This window comes from Homo sapiens, chromosome 17, assembly GCF_000001405.40.
Source record: "Homo sapiens chromosome 17, GRCh38.p14 Primary Assembly".
NCBI lineage: Eukaryota > Metazoa > Chordata > Mammalia > Primates > Hominidae > Homo > Homo sapiens.
In genome coordinates this window covers 45,789,711-45,808,537 of record NC_000017.11, presented here as the reverse complement: position 1 = coordinate 45,808,537, position 18,827 = coordinate 45,789,711, and the positions used below count along the sequence as shown (strand labels likewise).

General features: G+C 53.3%; 2 protein-coding genes across 8 annotated transcripts in view, besides 3 other annotated features; both read right to left on the bottom strand.

The window, feature by feature from the left end:
• Positions 1-18,827, bottom strand: part of LINC02210-CRHR1 (LINC02210-CRHR1 readthrough) — a 215,483-nt gene that overhangs the window by 27,291 nt on the left and 169,365 nt on the right. For both annotated transcript variants that reach the window (NM_001256299.3, NM_001303016.1), the window contains exon 4: positions 1,441-1,528. The gene's annotated coding sequence lies outside the window, so the exon portion shown is untranslated. The remainder of the gene's footprint in view (positions 1-1,440; positions 1,529-18,827) is intronic.
• The window catches only part of CRHR1 (corticotropin releasing hormone receptor 1), a 51,509-nt gene that overhangs the window by 27,291 nt on the left and 5,391 nt on the right, over positions 1-18,827 (bottom strand). For all 6 annotated transcript variants that reach the window (NM_001145146.2, NM_004382.5, NM_001145148.2 and 3 more), the window contains exon 2: positions 1,441-1,528. In NM_001145146.2, coding sequence (NP_001138618.1) covers positions 1,441-1,528 — 88 coding nt within the window. The remainder of the gene's footprint in view (positions 1-1,440; positions 1,529-18,827) is intronic.
• Positions 1,164-1,663: an enhancer, noted in NCBI's record as "H3K4me1 hESC enhancer chr17:43884241-43884740 (GRCh37/hg19 assembly coordinates)". NCBI's record gives its function as "activates a minimal SCP1, AML or CMV promoter by ChIP-STARR-seq in naive H9 embryonic stem cells {active_cell/tissue: H9 hESC(naive)}" and the evidence as "EXISTENCE:reporter gene assay evidence [ECO:0000049][PMID:30033119]".
• Positions 1,664-2,165: an enhancer, noted in NCBI's record as "H3K4me1 hESC enhancer chr17:43883739-43884240 (GRCh37/hg19 assembly coordinates)". NCBI's record gives its function as "activates a minimal SCP1, AML or CMV promoter by ChIP-STARR-seq in naive H9 embryonic stem cells {active_cell/tissue: H9 hESC(naive)}" and the evidence as "EXISTENCE:reporter gene assay evidence [ECO:0000049][PMID:30033119]".
• Positions 15,971-16,471: an enhancer, noted in NCBI's record as "H3K4me1 hESC enhancer chr17:43869433-43869933 (GRCh37/hg19 assembly coordinates)". NCBI's record gives its function as "activates a minimal SCP1, AML or CMV promoter by ChIP-STARR-seq in naive H9 embryonic stem cells {active_cell/tissue: H9 hESC(naive)}" and the evidence as "EXISTENCE:reporter gene assay evidence [ECO:0000049][PMID:30033119]".

Sequence of the window (18,827 nt, the reverse complement as noted above, 5' to 3'; positions counted from 1 at the left end):
GCAGGTAACAGCCCCCCTATCCCTCTACACTTGGGCAAGGTGAGGTTCAAGAGGGGTTGAGGGTATGCTCATCCCTGTGGCTACCAGTACCCACCCCTAGCCGGGACATGACCAGGCACCTTCTGTGAGCCAGCACAGGGACCCAGTGTGCCTTCTCCAAGTCCAGGGCTTGTTCCTCTGCCCCCAGGCTCTCCCTAGTGAAGGAACAGCTGGCCAGGAAGCAGCTACCATGAGATGTGGAGGCCTCCTGTTCCCACAGAGCCACCTTCAGAAATGAAGGCCTCCTGCCCGCCTGCAGACACTTGCGTCTGTTTCTTTGCAAGCATGCGTCTTCCACTCTGCCTCATCGCACATGCATTTGTGGATTCGATGCCCAGACTAGCCTGTGAGCCCCCTTGTTTCCCCCAGTGCCCTGCGTGGGGCCTGCTGTGTAGTAGGTGCTTCATGAAAGAGTTGGTGTGAATCAAGGAGAGGCTTGAAGACTTAAATAGAAGGTCCACAAGCCTTCCAAAGACACTCAGGTGCAGGGACCCTCTCCATTTTTGCCCAGCAGCAGCCATGCCCAGGACCACACCCAAAGTTTTAAAAGACATGCCCTAGGCAGCCCAAACACCTAGATTTGGGTCCCAGTCACTGCCATGTACTGGCTGCATGGTGCCATGGGGGTTATGTAACTCTCCCATGCCTCAGTTTCCTCAACTGTACAAACGTTCGGCTTTACACTCTTGTGAGGATGAAACGAGATGATTATGCAAAAGCACTCTGTAAATGGTAAAGTGACACAGATATTAATAATATTTGCAGCTATGCTGTCTTTTCTATTGGAGAGATACAGAGCACGGCGCTGGAGACCACAACCAGAAGCTGGGCTGCCCGTGCTCCACTCAGGGCTCTGGCGCTTACTAGTTCTCTGTGCCTCAGTTTTCTTATGTGTAAAATGGGGGCAACAGCACCTACTTCAGAGGGACATTGTGCAAATTGGGTTAATACAGCTCCAGTCCTTGATCAGTGCCTGGCACGGGTTAGCACCGTGGAGTATTACACTCTGGGCATTTTTAGCCACAGACTGTGGCAGCCTTTCCTCCGTCCCTTGATGCCTCCCCGAGTCACAACTCAGCAGCAAGGGCTGGGATGCCCTCCCCTGTGCCCACCCTAAAGCAGGGAAGATAACTACTCAGAATCCTTGCTGCAAACTCCTGTGCCCACGGCAGGTGCTACTAACCAACTGCAGCTCTTCCCCACCAACCTTACACCCAACCTCAGGATCCTTCTCAACACGGTGCTCGGTGGAGATGTGAAGAATTGCTTGGAGCCCTGGAGAGGAAATGACTCTGCAAATCCTGCCTTAGGGCATGGTTCTGTGTGCAGGCTCTGGGATACCTGGGGTAGGGGGCATTGTGGTGACCAGGAATCTTGCAGGAGGGGGTTGAGGGGACTCACCTGAGATGTTGCTGGCCAGGGACAGGCTCTCGCAGTGCTGGTCCTGGAGGGAGGCAGAGACGGGGTTCAGCCCCAGAAGGAGAAGGGCCTGCAGGCACAGGAGGCGAAGGACACATTAGGCAGGTGCCATGAGCCATGAGCATGTTGCTCCATCACCCAGGAAAACTGCAGGGGTGACACTGCACCTGCCTGCCTCCCCTCCCACCCTGTCACACATCCAGTCGCTTCCCAGACACCCGCCCCTCATCTCCTCTCTCCTCCTTCTGGGTCCTCTCTGCCTGGAGGGTCTGGAGTTGCCCTGCTCTTGGAGGGGCCTGGCAGGGAAGCTGACAGGATCAGGAGCCCAGGCTCCTAGGGAAGAGGCGAATTTTACCCCTAGGGGCTGAGTGCGGCCAGAGGAAGCCACCTCCATCCCCATGGAATCCTGAACATGGTCCAACGGTGTCCCACCATATACACGTGTGCATGTGCACACACACACACACCCTCCCACCGGCCCGCTGACCACCATGGCCGCTGACATCCCCATGCGTGCACCCACTTCCCTCCCTTCCTCCAGAGCTGGCCTCTTGTTTTGTGAACAGTTTCCTGGGCCCTCATCCCCGCCTGCCTAATTATCCGTCATCACAAATTGTGCCTCACCATTTATCAAGCTCTTGTACATCTGCCGTGACACTAAATTTTCCCTGGGGTTGGTGTGGCTGTGCCTATTTGCAGATGAGGAAACTGAGGCACAGAGAGGTAAGGGATAAATGTGTCTGGAAAGATGGACACCCTATTCTAGGGCAGACCTTTGCCCTTTAACCTCCCTGAAGGCTCCGTGTCACTCTGATTCCAGAATTTTAGCCCAGTTGGGAAGGGAGTGGCATAGGCCCTATACCTGGAGGGCTGCCCCTTCTTCAACTAAACCCACCCACACAACCATCGCATTACCCCCCTCCCGACAGGGTTAGAGTCAAGAGAGAGGCCGAGTGTCTAGCCCCCCGTTACGCTGTGTTGCCATGGGCAGGGGACTTGACCTCTGTGTGCCTCAGTGTCCTCACCTGTAAAAATGGGTCTAACTGTCCCACCCCCTTTAAGCTTACATGATGTATGTATATTGAAGTCCTTTAAATAGCCCTGCATGCTCTGTAGGGGCAGGGATTTTGTTCATTGCACTCAATTTTGCTGAAGAAATGAATGAATGACATTGTGTTTCTGGTATACAATAGGCACTCAAGAAGGATATGTTAACTGATCTGAACTTAGTGGTTTTTATTTAGTTGTTGGAGGAGAGGTGGCTGTTTCCCCTGGGATTTGATTCAAAAGGGGTTAAGAAGCATGAGTGAGGGGCAGGGAGAGGGGAGCATTGTAACCGGTCCTCCCCTCTGGCTGTGGGGAGCTGGGTGCCCGGCCACCAGCAGAGTTCCCAGACAGGGTGGTGAGCCTGAAGCCCAAGAGGCCTCATGGGAGGCTGCTCTCTTCATCACTTCTCTGCTGTTTCTTCTTGGGGTCTGCTCCTTCTGAGGCCCCCAACCCCATGGCCAGGTGTCTCAGCCCCAGCCCATTTCTGTACCAACTGCAAATTTCACTACAGAGCCTCAGACACAGACCCTTAGCTCTGGAAGCCAGCTTGGGATTTCACAGCAGGAAAATAAGATCGGGAGAGAGGTAGGGGCTTGTCAAGTCCCTTGGTGAGCAAAGACTTCTAGGGTGTAGGCTAGAAGCAGGTCGGTGGCCAGCCCAGGCAGCACGCAGCCTTCTCACAAGGGGCCGGGACTCCACGTGGTGAGTGCAAAAGTGAAGGGAGCATCGAAAATCTTAGTCGTCAAGATACGGAATATTTTAACATAATTATTTTTTTAAAATAAAGATTAACGCCAAAAAATCCATGATGAGCAAAATATCAAAAACTTTTTAAAGGAAAGATAGGCTCAGTAACAGTGCTGGGCCATGTTGGAGCTTGGGGCAAAAAGGGAAAAAGTCAGTAATGATATTAAAATATTATCTATCATGGCCGGGTGCAGTGGCTCATGCCTGTAATCCCAGCACTTTGGGAGGCCAGATCACGAGGTCAGCAGTTCAAGACCAGCCTGGCCAACATGGTGAAGCCCCGTCTCTACTAAAAATACAAAAATTAGCCAGGTATGGTGGCAGGCACCTGTAATCCCAGCTATTCGGGAGGCTGAGGCAGGAGAATTGCATGAACCCGGGAGGTTGAGGTTGTAGTGAGCCGAGATCACGCCACTGCACTCCAGCCTGGGCGATAGAGTAATACTCTATCTCAAAAAAAAAAAAAATTATCTATTGCGATTACTGAGGTTTGAGGAAATGCCTCACTTGCTTCACTCCAGTCGGGCCCCACTCATGCGCCATCTTCCCAAGCCAGACGCCATCCCTCCTTCCCTGCCTGCCCCATATCCTTCAGGGGTGTCCATCCTCTCTTCCCTGGACTCCTCTCCACTCACCCTTTTCGGATCTCAGGACCTTCTCCCTGTCCTTAGAAGCAAACTGACCTGCCTTTTCCATGTTCACCTGCCGGGAATGTTCTCCCTTATCTCACCCCACCCCACCAGGGCCACCCCCTTTCACGGTACCCACTCCCTCCCAGTCCTGTCCCGATGATGAAGGCAGACTCTGCTCCCCTCTCTCCCACCCACATTCCAAGGTCCAGGGGAAGAGTGCCCACTCCTCGTCAGAGCCTGGTCCCCACTACCCATGACTCACCCACATGGTCCCCCGAGTCGGTAGTGCCTGAGTTTGTAGTGGTTTTGTTCACTCCATTCCCTTGCTGATACTCTCATAGGGGTCTCTCTGCCCTGGACCAAGCTCCAGGTTCTGAAGCATAACCCCAGCCTCACACCCCCATCCTGTGCTCTGCACACGGGACACTCAGCAAGATGGCACTGGGGTTAGCCAACTCGCGCCTGGGACTCAGGAGTGATGATAACAAACCCATTCATCTCTCTGGCCTCAAGGAACTTCCAACACTTTATTAATCAGTAATTAAACTTCACAGTCTCCAGAGAGATGGAGAAATATCTTTACCCTCATTTTCCAAGTGAAAATGCAGAAGTAGAGAGAGGAGGAGGCCACCAGGCCAGCCGGTGGCTCTTGCCAGCTAAGCAGAAAGCAAAGTGTCCTCATGACAAAGCTGCACTGCCCGCTCAGCAATCAGCAAGGACCCAGGCTCGGCTCTGTCCCCGGAGAGGGGCAGTTCAGATGCTAGGGCCAGAGGCCCCTTCTAGAAGGGGACTAGAAATCATCACTCCTCGTTTCCCACCCCACATCTGCCCACGCCACCTCCCAACACACACACATGCACACACGCGCACGCGCACGCACACACACACACACACACGCACTCTCTCTCTCAAACTAGGGCTCCCAGAGCCAGCTCAGCCACAGGCAAATTAAAGAAACTGGAGACACTGGCCAGGTGCAGTGGCTCACGCCTGTAATCCCAGCACTTTGGGAGGCCAAGGCAGGCGGATCACCTGAGGTCGGGAGTTTGAGACCAGCCTGGCCAATAGGGTGAAACCCCCATCTCTACTAAAAATACAAAAATTAGCTGGGCATGGTGGCATGCCTGTAATCCCAGCTACTCAGGAGGCTGAGGCAGGAGAATTGCTTGAACCCAGGAGGTGGAGGTTGCAGTGAGCCGAGATCACGCCATTGCACTCCAGCCTGGGCAACAGAGCAAGATTCCATCTCAAAATAAATAAATAAATAAAATAAATAAAAAAGAAAGAAAAGAAACTGGAGGCATCCTATTTGACAATATCAGCCCCATTGCCTGACATTCCACTTATCCATCTAATCCTTAAGCTGTGCTTCGTGCTCCGGTCTTTCATATCCCCCACCTTGAAGGCACATCACGTTCTATTTCCATCCAATTACTTATTATCTCCCAGTATCTGGGATCCTTCTCATGTCTGCAACCCTCTGCCCATGCAGTCTGTGCCACCCCCCACCCCTGGTCACCTGGTCAACTCTGCATTCTTCAGAGGCCAGTTCCAGGGCCCGTCTGCTTAGTAGTACCTGCCCAACTCTCCAAAGCAAAGCAGCTCAGTTCTCCCTCCAATGTACCCCTTTTCCCAGTGCACTCTGTACACTCACTGGACCCTGTGCCCGTGAGGCTCACAAGTAGAGCACTTAGACCAGCCTAAGTGCACGAAAACCACCTCGGCACAAAGCACTTAGGACCCAAGACACTAATTAGATGGCAAATATACAGGCTATAAGTTCTTATTCTCGCATCTTAATGTCCTGGCGTGCACAGAGGAGCAGAGCAAATCTTGATTCGTCAGAAAATGAAGCCAAATTCCAGGCAAAGGGCTAGTCTTCCCTTGGCTGCCTAGAACCCTGACACTTGTGTCCCTCTCTTGAATGTGATGGTTCACACAGGCATTTTCTAAACACAGAGGACTGGTGTTGCGTTATGCAAAGAAAAATGCTTCTTAAAATTCCCAAACCAACCTTTCCTCTCTGGAAAGGTCTGCTCTGTAGCAGAATCTGTGCCTGTGCCACCTCTTGCTCTGTGGAAGGTTTGTGAGGGCTTCTGCCTTATTCCTGAATCATACTTCCATGAAAAGTCCAGAGATTTCCTGCATTTTTCCTCCCACCATCCGCTGATCTCCTCTTCACCATCCGCTGATCTCCTCTTCAAGCTCCACTGTGGTTTTCTATCTCCATCAATAGGCAATTACTGCACTGGCAGGAACAGGCCCCCAAAGTTTCAAGGATGTTGTTTGTTTGCCCTTAAAATGGAGAATTTTTTTGTTTGTTTGTTTTTTGAGACAGTCTTGCTCTGTCGCCCAGGCTAGAGTGCAGTGGTGCGACCTCCGCTCACTCCAACCTCTGTCTCCTGGGTTCAAGCAATTCTCCTGCCTCAGCCTCCCAAGTAGCTGGGATTACAGGCCTGCACCACCATGCCCAGCTAAGTTTTGTGTTTTCAGTAGAGATGAGGTTTCACCCTGTTGGCCAGGCTGGTCTCAAACTCCTGACTTCAAGTGATCAGCCCGCCTCGGCCTCCCAAAGTGCTGGGATTACAGGAGTGAGCCACCATGCTGGGCTAAAACAACAAAAAACAAAACAAACAAAAAAAAAAACACGGAGAATTCTTAACCTGGGGAGCGGGCAGTGTGAAGATTTGCAAATAAATGCAGTTGGTGTGTGTGATGAAAACCATTTTCCCGGGGAGGGTTCTTGGCTTCCTCCACTTCTCACCAACAACTAGCACCCTGAAACAGTGGGAACTACAGTCGAAGCATATGGTAAATGGGGTGAACTGAACATGTCATCTTCTCTGAAATCAAACCAAAGTGCTTTTGGCCTTTCTCAGATGCCTCTTGCTCCTCCACTCCATCACCAGTCCCAGCCACTGGCGCTCCTTTCAGAACCAAGTTTTCAAGACTTCATGTGATTTACTATCTTCCAACTAGTAGAGAAAATCAAAACGGCACTGAAGCTGAAGCTGGCAGAGCACGAGGTTCACTCACTGGCTAATGCCTCACTTCCGTGCACAGCCTGGCAGCCCCAAGGCTCCAAATAAAACTTGCAGCTGAGCTACAAATCTCTCCACTCACCAAAGAGCCAAACCTTCAAGGTTAAAGTCTGAGGCCAAGGGTGCGTGCGGCTCAATTATAGCATCGCGTAAAAGGATTTTCCAAAGATCTAGTGGGTCCCTGGGATGGAAGGGAAAGCAGACTGGGCGGGTATCATGCTCCCATTTTAAGTCTGGGGTAGTTGATGTACCCAATGTCACATAACTGTTTTTAGGAGCTGGGATTCAGTAAGCAGGTGCTCCTGCTGTCTTTCAAGGAGATGAACCATGAAGACAGTCGCGCCTTCTGGCTGGCCAGGCGCAGGTCAAGACAGCGCCTTGGAAGAAGGGATGGGCAGTGGGGAGGAAGGTGGTGCAGGAGCCTGTGGAGGGGGTGGAGGGCCAGGTTCTGACATGGCCTGCTCCAGCCTGCAGCAGCTGCTACCCACACCCCCACCCCCAGGGCCAGCACAGAATGGGGCTGGAATGAAGCTGCCATCCCAATTCCCAGTGTGATTTTGGTACAAAGGTTAATCACACCCAGAAAATGCTTATCAGAGACCATAAATAACCGTGTTGTTGAAGCTCAGTTTGGTCTTTAAGGCACAAAAGTGCAATTTCCTTTGATGTGATGATTCGGTAATTAACCTTTTGGGGAGGGTCCTGAAGGCCACTGGAGGGAGGGAGGGGTGGCCTGGAGGCAGCTGAGGCATCTCAGGCCTGGTTCCTACAAGTTCCTGGGGAACAGGGAAAAGGGAGCCTGTTTTCTCTCTCCTTTCACAGCTAGCACTGATGCTCAGCTTGGGAGAGTCCCCAGAGCCCCCAGGGGTCAGGGACCGCACTGGCCTTCGGCAGAGCCACAGCTGGACAGCCATCCTTCAACACGGTCCCTCGCCCTTCTGCTGAGCCCCAAGGCAGTCCTGTCACTGGCTGTGTGGCTTTCGGTGAGTCACCTGACTCCTCTGAGACTCAACATCCTCATCTGTGAAGTGGGGGCAATGTGGTCTTTCTTACCCACTTCACTGGGAGATGGACCATTTGTGGGGAACCAGGAGACCTGCATCTGCAATATAAAGTCCCTACAAGCATCGGCAGGGTCATCAGCCCAGCTTGGCTGTTCTGGGCCCCAGAATGCACCTCCACTGCAGAGGGCTGGCCTGGAGCAGCTTTCCTGATGTCCCTTCCGGGCCCTGGGGGAGGCCCCGCAGGCTGGACCTGGCCTCTCCTCATCTTCCGCCAGGTCCTTCTGCCTTCTCAGGAAGCCTTGCTTTGGGAAGGAGTTTTTCCATTTAAAAGGTAAGTTGCTTTTTAGGTTTGAAATCCACTGGATTGAGTGGTGTCTCCAACCCCCTTGGTGGTCTGGGATCCTTCATTCAAAGAGTCCAGGACTAAGTACATGATTTGGAAAAAAGGAAAGGAACTCAGAAGAGATGGGGAAGGACAGACAGACACACACATACATGACGATGGCAAGATGAGGCACAGACTGAGGGCAGGGGGACCATGGAGTTTCAGATGGGGTCAGCACCATGGCCATGAGGGCAGGCTTCCTGGAGGAGGTGAGCTGGAGGTCGGGGCAGAGTGGACGTGGCTGTCAGAGGGAGGGAGAGGGCCTTCCCGGCAAGGGGAGGGTCCTGAGCTTGTAGGGGTGTGGCAGGCTGCCTGCGGAGGGCCTCAGACACTGGGTTGAGATGGATCCAGTCGGCCTGGAGCACCATGGCAGGTTCCTGAGCAGTGAATTATCCCAGCTTGTCACCCTCATCATCCCAGCGAGACAGCCGACAGTCACCTGTTCCACGGAGGCGGTTCAGCAGGTCAGAGTGAAACCAGGCCTTGTTGCCTTCCCTGGCCTGGGAGACTCTGGCGGACCCTGACTCGGGGCCCAGAGAAGCCCTTGACTCTCCAGTGTGGCCAAGATCGAAGATGTACCTGGTGACCCCAGAGGCAAGGGCCCCAGCCCACACTTTCCATCTGCTGGCCAAGGTCCTGGGTCCTGGGGTCCTGCAGGCTCCACAATCCCAATATCCGACCCTTCTGACTCTGCTTTGCTTTGCACTGTGTTCAGGTGGAGCCTATTTTAAGCAAAGGCAAGAGAAGAAAATCTAAACGCGAAAAAGAAATGAGGTCATAAATGAAGATTTCTGTAAAAAGCTGGGTCCGCCGTTGCATTTAAATACTGGGATCTGGTTTGCAGAAATAAAGCGTCAGTGCAATCAACTCTTCAGAAACGTCTCTGTACCTACGGGGGATATATCTGTAGTTACGGACTAATTGAATACAAGAGCAGGGCAGGCCCCACACGCAATTGTGTGGTTTCTGCAGAATTTCTTGCTACAGAAGTGCCAAGTGGAGGGGTCAGTGGGGGATAGACTTGCAAGATGTGTACCAGCAGAGGGGCACCCTCATGGGGCACCTTTTTCTCATCCACCCACAGGTGGAGACCAGCCAGAGTAAAACTAGACTAGGCACAGAGGACAGAGATGCCAGGGGTCCTTTCTCAGCCCTCTTGACTGCCCAGGCTTCTCCCCATCCCGCCTCGGGCCTGGCCCTCCTCCCACAGCCTCTTTCTGTGACAGCCACAACCAGTTCCCATCTCAAGGCAAAGAGCCAGTGCTTCCCCTCAAAGTGGGTGAGCACTGAAAGATTATTCCAGGCAGGCGAGAAATAATTTATTGTTACATTTAATTAACTTAAATTGCTGTTGTACAGAGAAGAAAAAATGGAAAGGAAAATCTCCTGCCTACAGTTAAGGGAGGGGGGAAGCCTGGGTGTTCCCCGCCCCCGGCCTTTCTCCCTGGGGCCCCGGCTCAGGGTGCCCCCGCCCGCCCTCCCTGCTACTTCACGCCTCTACTCCCCTAAGAAAACCTTGCAGCAGGGCTAGAAATAGTGGGTCACCTGCCTCTCCCACCCCAGGGCAGCAAGGGCCATGAGACCCCAGCTCCAGAGTCACACACGCCCCTCCAAGGTTCCAGATGTACTGTTATAAGCTTGAGTTGTAAGCTCCCTGCAGGCAAGGCCTGTGTTTGGCTTTTTTTTTTTTTTTTTCCCGAGACGGAGTCTCGCCTTGTCGCCCAGGCTGGAGTGCAGTGGCGCGATCTTGGCTCACTGCAACCTCTACCTCCTGGGTTAAAGAGATTCTCATGCCTCAGCCTCCTGAGTAGCTGGGATTACAGGCACCCACCATCACACCTGGCTAATTTTTATATTTTTATTAGAGATGGGGTTTCGCCATGTTGGCCATGCTGGTCTCGAACTCCTGACCTCAGATGATCCACCTACCTCGGCCTCCCAAAGTGCTGGGATTACAGGCGTGAGCCACCCTGCCCAGCCCGTGTTTGGCTATTTTTGTATCCTCAGTGGGGCCCGATACAGAGCAGGCCCCAACATGTTTGTTGAATGAATAAATGACTGAATGAATAAGTGAACAGATGGGTTTTCACTTTCTGCCCCCTCTGACCATGGGGTCTCATGATGATTCCCAGCAGGAGATTGTAGGGGGCTGTTTCCTTTTTCTCATTTTCCTCTCTATTCCTCCTGCTCAGCAGGAGCTCCCTCTCCTCTCCTTGCTCCCGCCATAGCCCCGCACCTTGGACTCCAGAAGGATGTGCTAGAGGAAAAAGCACTCTGGGTGGGAAGCACAGGGCTGACTCTGCTGAACTTGCTCCGTGATGGTAGAGAAGTCACCTCCCCACCTCAGTTACCTCATCTGTAAAATGGGGAGGTCACTGTGTTCTCTACATTCCTTTCCAGGTCTGAATATGCCCTGGCTCCAGGATGTACAGGAGAGTAGAAATTCAAATCTCTAAACTTGGGGCTGGAGAGATGCTTGTTGGAATCTTTTATCTGCCCCCTCCTACCTGTGTGACCTTGGGAGAATCACCGAACTTCTCCAAGCCTCATTTTCCCCATCTGTAAATGGGGCTGATAGGGATAAAATATTCACATCCCAAAGCTCCTGGAGAGATTCAACAATATGGTGCATATAAAACTGCATGGGGCCGGGCGTGGTGGCTCATGCCTGTAATCCCAGCACTTTGGGAGGCCGAGGTGGGCGGATCATGAGGTCAGGAGATTGAGACCACAGTGAAACCCCGTCTCTACTAAAAATACAAAAAACTAGCTGGGCGTGGTGGCGGGCGCCTGTAGTCCCAGCTCCTCGGGAGGCTGAGGCAGGAGAATGGCATGAACCCGGGAGGCGGAGCTTGCAGTGAGCCGAGATCGTGCCACTGCACTCCAGCCTGGGTGACACAGCGAGACTCCGTCTCAAAAAAAAAAAAAAAAAAAAAAAAAGAAAGAAAGAAAAAGAAAAAACAGCATGGGACTAGGTGCGCAGGCCGCACAAATGGTCACCACTCTGTTACTCAACTTTGCACGTTCTTCCTTCCTGACTTGGCTTTTCTTCCCAGAAGTGCCCCTTGCCCAGCCCCCTGCCCACTCAGGGCATGTACCCCACTTTCCAGCTCCACTCTTTCCCAGAAGCCAGCAGTGGTCACCTACAGGAATGGAGTGTACATCCAGGTCAATGATATGGATTTGCTAAGCATGGGGGCAGGGGGTGCCCGGAGCGTAGCTCCCATCCTCCTTGTCTTCCCTTCATTTCTGCCTCTCATGCATTCACTTGCTCCCCGTCTTTGTATGATTTGCTCTCAAATTGACTCATGGATATGTTCTTGTAGCCCGTGCCTTCTCGGCCTCCTGCCTCTCTCCTCCCCATCTTGCTCTCTCCCTGTCTTAACCACTCTACCTTTCTCAGTCTTCCCTGGCTTCCATTTTCCTCCCTCCCTTCTTTCCTTCCTTTCTTTCTTCCTTCTTTCTTTCTTCAGCCTTTACTGAAGGCTTGCACAGTGCCAGGCCCTGTGAATTTCTTCATTTAATCCTTCTCGACCCCTGCAAGTCAGAGCCTTTACTATCTCCCCACTGTTCAAACGAGAGACTGGTGCACCCGGAGACAGTAACTTACCCAGGGTTTTGACTGCAGTAACTGGAGGGACTGGGATTGGAGCCATGCTCCTGCCCCTGGGCAGCACAGCCTGTTTCCCTGCCTGCCCTGCCTGCCTTCCCTTCCCTCCTCTTCCTCATCACAAGCCTGGATCCTCCAAAAGACACATAGGTACAGGTTTCCTTTGCCTTTCAAACTCTGGCTCCTGGCTGCAGCCCAGCTCCCCCAGAGCTGGCAGTGGGAACGAGGGGGCGGACAACAGTAGGACCCTGCCAATGGATGGGACTCAGGAAGGGCTCTGTTTGGCTCTCACAGAAGAGGGGAGCCCAGCCCAGGGTTCTGATCCAGTGCCTGCCCCTGGGAGCTGTTAGCTGTGAGTGGCTCCCAGACACTGGGAAACTGTCCCTGAGTGGGTGGGAGGCACAGCCGAGGTGTGGGGACAGCCGCAGAGACACCAGCTACGCAGGTGACACTATCAGCTGTGCTCTCGGCTCAGCCGCTCTCTGACAAGTGTAAAGTGAGGGGGATTTCGGTGTCGGCAGAGAAAAGATGTCCTTTATGGAGCTGCGTTTTAAAAGGGATTTAAAGAGGGCCAGAAAGGAAGAGTGAAACTGGTGGCTGAAAATTAGGTTCTACTTTATTTAAAAATGCTAAAGGCTTTGGGGCTGTTTTTCCTGGAAAAACGACTGCCTTCTAAGGCCAAAGGTCAGTTTAAAGAGGGCTGCTGGACCGCCAAACCCCACCGAACAGGGAATATTTAGGGCAGAAATAAGGACTAACCAGACATAAAACAAGCAACGGCCCCGTCCTCTGATTCTTTGCTTGTAAAGGCAGTGACTTAGACAAAATCAGAATTTCCAGACAGTGCTTGACACCTGACCTGGGAGACAGAAAATCCCATTTCTCACAACTCACCCCCAAAATTGGGGTTCAATAGGCCTGTGGGGAGCCCAGGGACCCTTATGTTTTTTAAATGCGTTCCAGTGATTCTGAAGCATCAACAGAAGTGAGGATAACTCAGCCAGCTCAGAGATTCTCACCTGGAGGCCATTTTGCCTCCCGGGGGACGTTTGGTGATGTCTGAAGATATTCTTGGTTGCTATAATCAGGAAGGGGGAGGTGCGACTGGCATTTAATGGGTAAAGGCCAGGAATGCTGATAAACATCCTAAAATGCACAGGCCAGCCCCCACAGTGAAGGATTATCTGGCCCCAAATGTCAATAGTGCTGAGGTTGGGAAGCCCTGGGTTGGAGGGTTTCAATGCTCCATCCCAGCTTTGAAGACACTTGCCTGCCTGCCCATTATGGGGGCGGGGCAGGGGAGGAAGGTGGCTGTAGAGTGGACCTTGGGAAGAGTGTGGGATTACAAGAGAGAGGCACCTTCAAGGCAGGAAGAGGACCTGGATTGCACTCTTCTTGGTGAATGCCCTGTGCGACCTTGGATCAGTCAGTCTCCCACCTCCTGGCCTCAGTCTGAAGGCAGCGGACTGGTGGAAACGACCTTTCCTGGCCAGCTGGGCAGATGGGAACTCCTTCCCCTGACTCACTCTGTCCTGGCCCTGCTGGGTCAGCTCCTCCAGATCTCCTCCTGCAGGGGGTGCACAGGAGATGCAGGAAGGTCTGCCTGCTGATGCAGCCAAAGTTGAGGAATGAGGCAGCCCAGAAAGAGCTTGAACAGCAGCCTCTTCCCAGAGTCAGCGAGCTGAGCTCACCCAGCTGAGGCTCCACCAGAGCCTCTCCAGGGCCGGCACCTCAGAGGCAGGAGGCAGAGCCGGGTCCTGGGCCCTGGGCCCTGGAGAAGTGGGATTCCTTTACCTTGGATGAGTGCGGGGACAAGGGGTAGAACAGCATGGGGCTAAGTCCTGTGAGCTTTGGGGAACCCACACAGAGCAAGGCTGCCCTTGCCCCACTAGGGGCTGCGACCACTGATCATGGGTCCTCAGCTCACCTTGTCACCAAGTGCAGATTGATGAGTGTGACAAGGAGGGGGAAGGGGCCTGCTCAGAACCCGCCACTGGGTAAGGGGTCTGAGTAAACCAAAGAGTTTCCTCCTCCTGGACAAGGGTTCTTCCTTCTTCCGTCGCCCAGCCTTGGCTGCCAGAAAGAGCCACTACATCACTCACATCCATGCAATGGAGACACACAAGTGCAAGAAGCATGGCAGGAGGGGCAGGCTGTGTGAAGGGTGAACCAGAGATCTGGGCCAGGCAGTGAATTCTGGCCCCAAAGGAGGGCTTTAGGCCCGTGCTATTCAAAGGGTGGTGAGGACTGGTCCGACTGGTCAAGTTTGCCAACCTACCAACAATTGGTTCCTGGTCTACAACTTGAGAAGTACAAAACTGGAGAGTAAGCATTTCATGTGAATCCATCCCTGCGGTGACATCCGAGCATGCAGTCAAGACTCATCTCGTCAAACAGGGTCTAGACCAATTCAGATGCTGTCAGACTTGCCAGGTGAATCACGTGGTGCAGGCTACACAGCAGGACCACACGCCAGTTGGCCATGGATTGGAAAAATCCATGTGGTCCTTCCCCACAGCTGGTTTGAGAGCCCTGCTTTGGCTGGAGGACAGAGTGTGATGCCTGGCTCACCAGGGAAGGCCTCATGGAGGAGGCGGGTCTTGAGTGATAGTTGGGCTTAGTTCTGAGGGGAGTCCTGGGGTGGGACTCCCACCCATGAAAACAGCAGGTCTCACTGGCCTTTGGTGGGAGCAGGCCCCTTGCAGCAGCACAGGCATTTCCTCTTTCATTCTGCATTGTGGTCGGTCCAGTAAAGAGGACACAAGGGTCCAGAGAGGTCATGTGATTTGCCTAAGGTCACCCATCCAAGAAGTGGCTGAGTCAGCTCCAACCCCAGGTCTCCTGCCCTGTCAGCTTTAGGGACAGTGGTCCTTCCTCCAGGGTGCATGTGAGCCCCACCACTCCTAGGCCCCCCTGCCCTGCATTTCACAGCCTTGCAGCAGCTTCCACAGTCAGGCCATGAGGCCCCAGCCATCAGGAGAGAAAAGACGCCCCAGGCTGCACCCCCACACCGACTCACAGGGAGCTGGAGGGGTGGGATGCCAACGGACGGGATCTCACGAAGGTACCAGGAATGCCAGTGCTCTTGGCGCCCCTGCCTTGCCTGGCTACTCCTGCCTCATGACCAGCAGAACCAGGACAGCACCAGGGAGGGAACCCCAGGATGCCACCTAGGCCGCCTCCCCAGTCCCCATTTGGAGGCTAGAGTGCCCTGACCCTGCTCTCTGGAGGCCCCAGCTTCTGAGACCTTCTTGCCCCTTTGTTTCTAAGCCCAGGGCCACAATTCCCTCTAGCAACATCTCCCACCATCCCTGTCCAGAACCGCTCATGAAGCAACATGCTGCCCTTGCGTGCACGTGGACAACGCCCCCAGTGCTATGGGGACCGGAGGCGGAACACAGGGCAGTGCTGGAATCTTTTAATGTTACTAAGCCGCGCTGCCGCGTAGCCCTTGATAAGCCGTTGAGTCACAAATCCACACGCGGAGGCAGAGAGGGACCTATCTGTCTGGCTTGCCACTTGTGTCTTCTGTCGCCATAGCACTTCCACACTCAGACAGACGTTCATTGGGGAGTGGGAGCAGGGAGAGACCCTCCATTTAGTTCAGCATCTACTGTGCACCTACTGTGTGCACAGTTCTGGACTAAGTTCTGGGCACACAGAGGTTTTGTTATTTTTTTGTTTTGTTTTGTTTTGTAAGGGAATCTTTCTGGTCTAGGCAGAGCTCATAGTCTACGGTGGGAACAAGGGCTCAGGTTAGATGTGGGTCACCAGGGGTCCATGTGGAATCTGGTTAGTAGGTGTTTTTGAGCCCCCTGTGGGGGGATACATCAAAGAGCTGTAAGACCCCATGTTGTGGGACAGCCCAGGATCCACGATGAGCTAGAGGCTCACACCAGGGGACGGGATGAGGTGAGAACAAAGGAACAACCAGTGAGAGACAGATTTAGACTGGAGGGCTTCCTGGAGGAGGAGGTGGGGCCAGTTCAGGAAGACTTTGGTGGACATGACAGATGAAGATTGGCACAGAAAGACTTGGGGGCAGAAGCTCCTGTAAGAGAAGTGTCATATATGTATATTCTGCTGGGTAGGGGTTGGCAGGGGAGGAAGGAGAACAGTGCGACTCAGGCAGAGGGCCAGGAGTGAGGAGCAAGAGATTAGGGGAGCATCAGGTTCTTTCCCCTCTAGAAGGGGATGGGAGGACTCAATGGGGTCACTTGTGTGGGCCTTAGTGCAACAGCAGCTCAGTAAATGGCGCACCTGGCCAGTAAACAGTGTACCTGCTTAAAAGAACCTGGGAGGCGTAGGCAAGGGACAGGAGCAGAGTTGGCAGAAAGAGGAAGGGGAAGGGCGTGGCTTAGACCAAGACCAAGCCCAGGACGCAAGGACCAGCCTCCCTCCAAGGACCAGCCTTGCCCTACCCGTCTGGGAAGATGAAGGAGTGGCTGAGTCTCTCGGGCTCCCAGCCAGGCACGGGCAGCTGAGGGATGCCGGGGAGGCTGTCTAACCTGCTAGTCACTCACCCAGCTAAGCCCGTGGTCCCCAGGTGCCCAGCTGCTCCTCTGGAAGTCAGCCTCTAACCCTGGCCTTGAGGTGGCATTGCACACCTGCCGTACAGGTCTGGCTATGCTCAGAGGAGAGGTGGTGACCACACAGTGGCTTCTGAGGGAGGTGGCAGGTGCGGGTGTTACAAACACTGCAAAGTAGCTCACTCGCCAGGGTACCAGCGTGTGTGTGTGTGTGTGTGTGTGTGTGTGTGTGAGAGAGAGAGAGAGAGAGAAAGAGAGAGAGAGAAAAAAATGCCCACTGAGAAACACACAGGCCCACAGAGGCAACAGATCCTGTCCCTTCTGCACCCTGCTTCTGGGGAGGAGGAGCAGCCCTGGGGGTGGTGGAAGGGATCATGGCGGGAGCTCATCTGGGGCATCTCTGCGCCGAAGGCTCTCCTAACAGCTGAGGACGGCTTCGGGCACCCAGGCACCAGGATAGGGATGGGTGGAGGAATTCTTGTGAGAAACAGAGAGGAAGTTTCCAGGAGATGCCACCGCTGGCCTCAGAACCCGGGCATAGGCTCTCTTGGATGCTAGGGAGAAAGTTAAAAGCAAGAATGACCAAGGCAGGCAGGCAGGTCTTTTTCTTCTCCCTCCCCTTTTGCTTCTCTCACTGTCTGTCTGTCTCCGCATCTTCCGTAAGAGTGAAATCATCCACCCTGAGCGAGCCCTTGGGCACCCTGCCAGGCCCGTGCTCTGAGTGCAGTTGGGTCCCCAGTGCAGGGGGCCTGGACCTGTAAGGACTGTGCCTCAGATGGCCCTGGACTCTCCTAAAGCCCTTTCCCCAGGGTAAAACCCCGCCTGGACCCGGTTTGCTTTTCCAGCCCACCCAGCCCAGCCCCTTGTCCCCCAGCCACACTCCTTTTCCCTGTCTCTGTGCACAGGCTCCCCACCCAGCCTGGTACCTCTGGCCTCTGCTGAGCTAGGAAGGGCTTTCTAGAAATGAGCCCTTCACACACCTTGCCAAAGAGGCTGGGAAAACAGGGAGGGAGAGGTGGATGGATCACAGAGGGAGGGCACTCCCCACTGGAAATGGCAATGCTGCGGCCATCACTTGTCCCAGCCTTTCACCCTGGGCAGGTGCCTTTCAGCTCTGTGGGCTTTGGTACTGACCAGGGATGATGACCAATATATTGTCCCAATTCTCCTAAAGCCCCTGACATCCCAGCACTCAAAGGTTCAACTAAGATTCTCACTGTGCTTCCTGATAGCCCCCACTACCTCTTAAAACTCCAGTGGGTAGACTCTAAAGTATAGCGGTCAGTCTAGAACAAGCCCTGCCTCCCTGGTTCTGCAGCCACGAAGTGACTGGACCAGTCTAGCCAGTTTTTCTGGGCTCTGACCTAGGCGCACTGGCTCCCAACCAGACTGGCTGGGGCTTGGAAACCAGCTGACATGCGGAGGGGGGCAGATGCACACCCCACAAATCCCATCTCAAAGCACCTCGCTGAGGCTTCTCTCTGGGCCCAACAGTGCCAGGCGGGTGAGATGGACAAATTGCCTGTGCTTATAGGGCAGAAAGAACAGCCGCAAACATCTTCATTTGTCCCAGAAACAGTTTTATGGCTGCTGGGTGGACAGTTGCCAAAGAACATGTTTGGCTAAAGCATTTGAATCCGCAGTTCTACGTGAAGGGGAACCCGTCTTCCAAAGCCAGATTCTGACATGCCTGTTTCATGAAGTCTGCCTCCCTCCCTTCCTGCCATCCATTCAATTTTGTGGAAGCGGATACCACATACTCAGAAAACAAGTGATTAAGAATCTGTTGTCTAATAGAATCCAGCTAGTTATTTTCAAAATGATTGTTTGCATCAGTGAGTGAATCATTTCGTATTATCCTCCCTACATATCTACTTTTACTGTCAGGTTTTTCCATATCCCAGATGTTCAGGTCTGTCTATGACCTTCAAGCTCAGCTGATGGCTGGTAGCTGATCCCTTTTCCCCAGGGACTGTGAAAAGTGCTCTGACGCAGGAAGAGATTCTATACGCCAAATACCCTTCCTCTACCCCCATCCCCTCACCACTTCTCCTTTTGATGGCCTTTCTTAGACTGAGGAAGTTGGTAAGATTTATTAAGTGACTACTATAGCTAATATTTATTATGCACTTACTGTGTGCCAGACACTGTGCAACTGTGCATAATTTCACACCTGGCATCTCATGGTCATTATGATTATGCCATAAAGCAGGTATTATTTCCCCCGCTTTAGACAGATGAAGAGGTGACTTGCCCACAGCTTCAGGGCAGAGTAAGGATTCAAGCCCACATTTGCTTCATCTGCTGTTCCCACCCATACAAGAAGATGTTGACTGCCACACTGGGTGGGGTAAGGGATGGCTGGCCTAGAGCA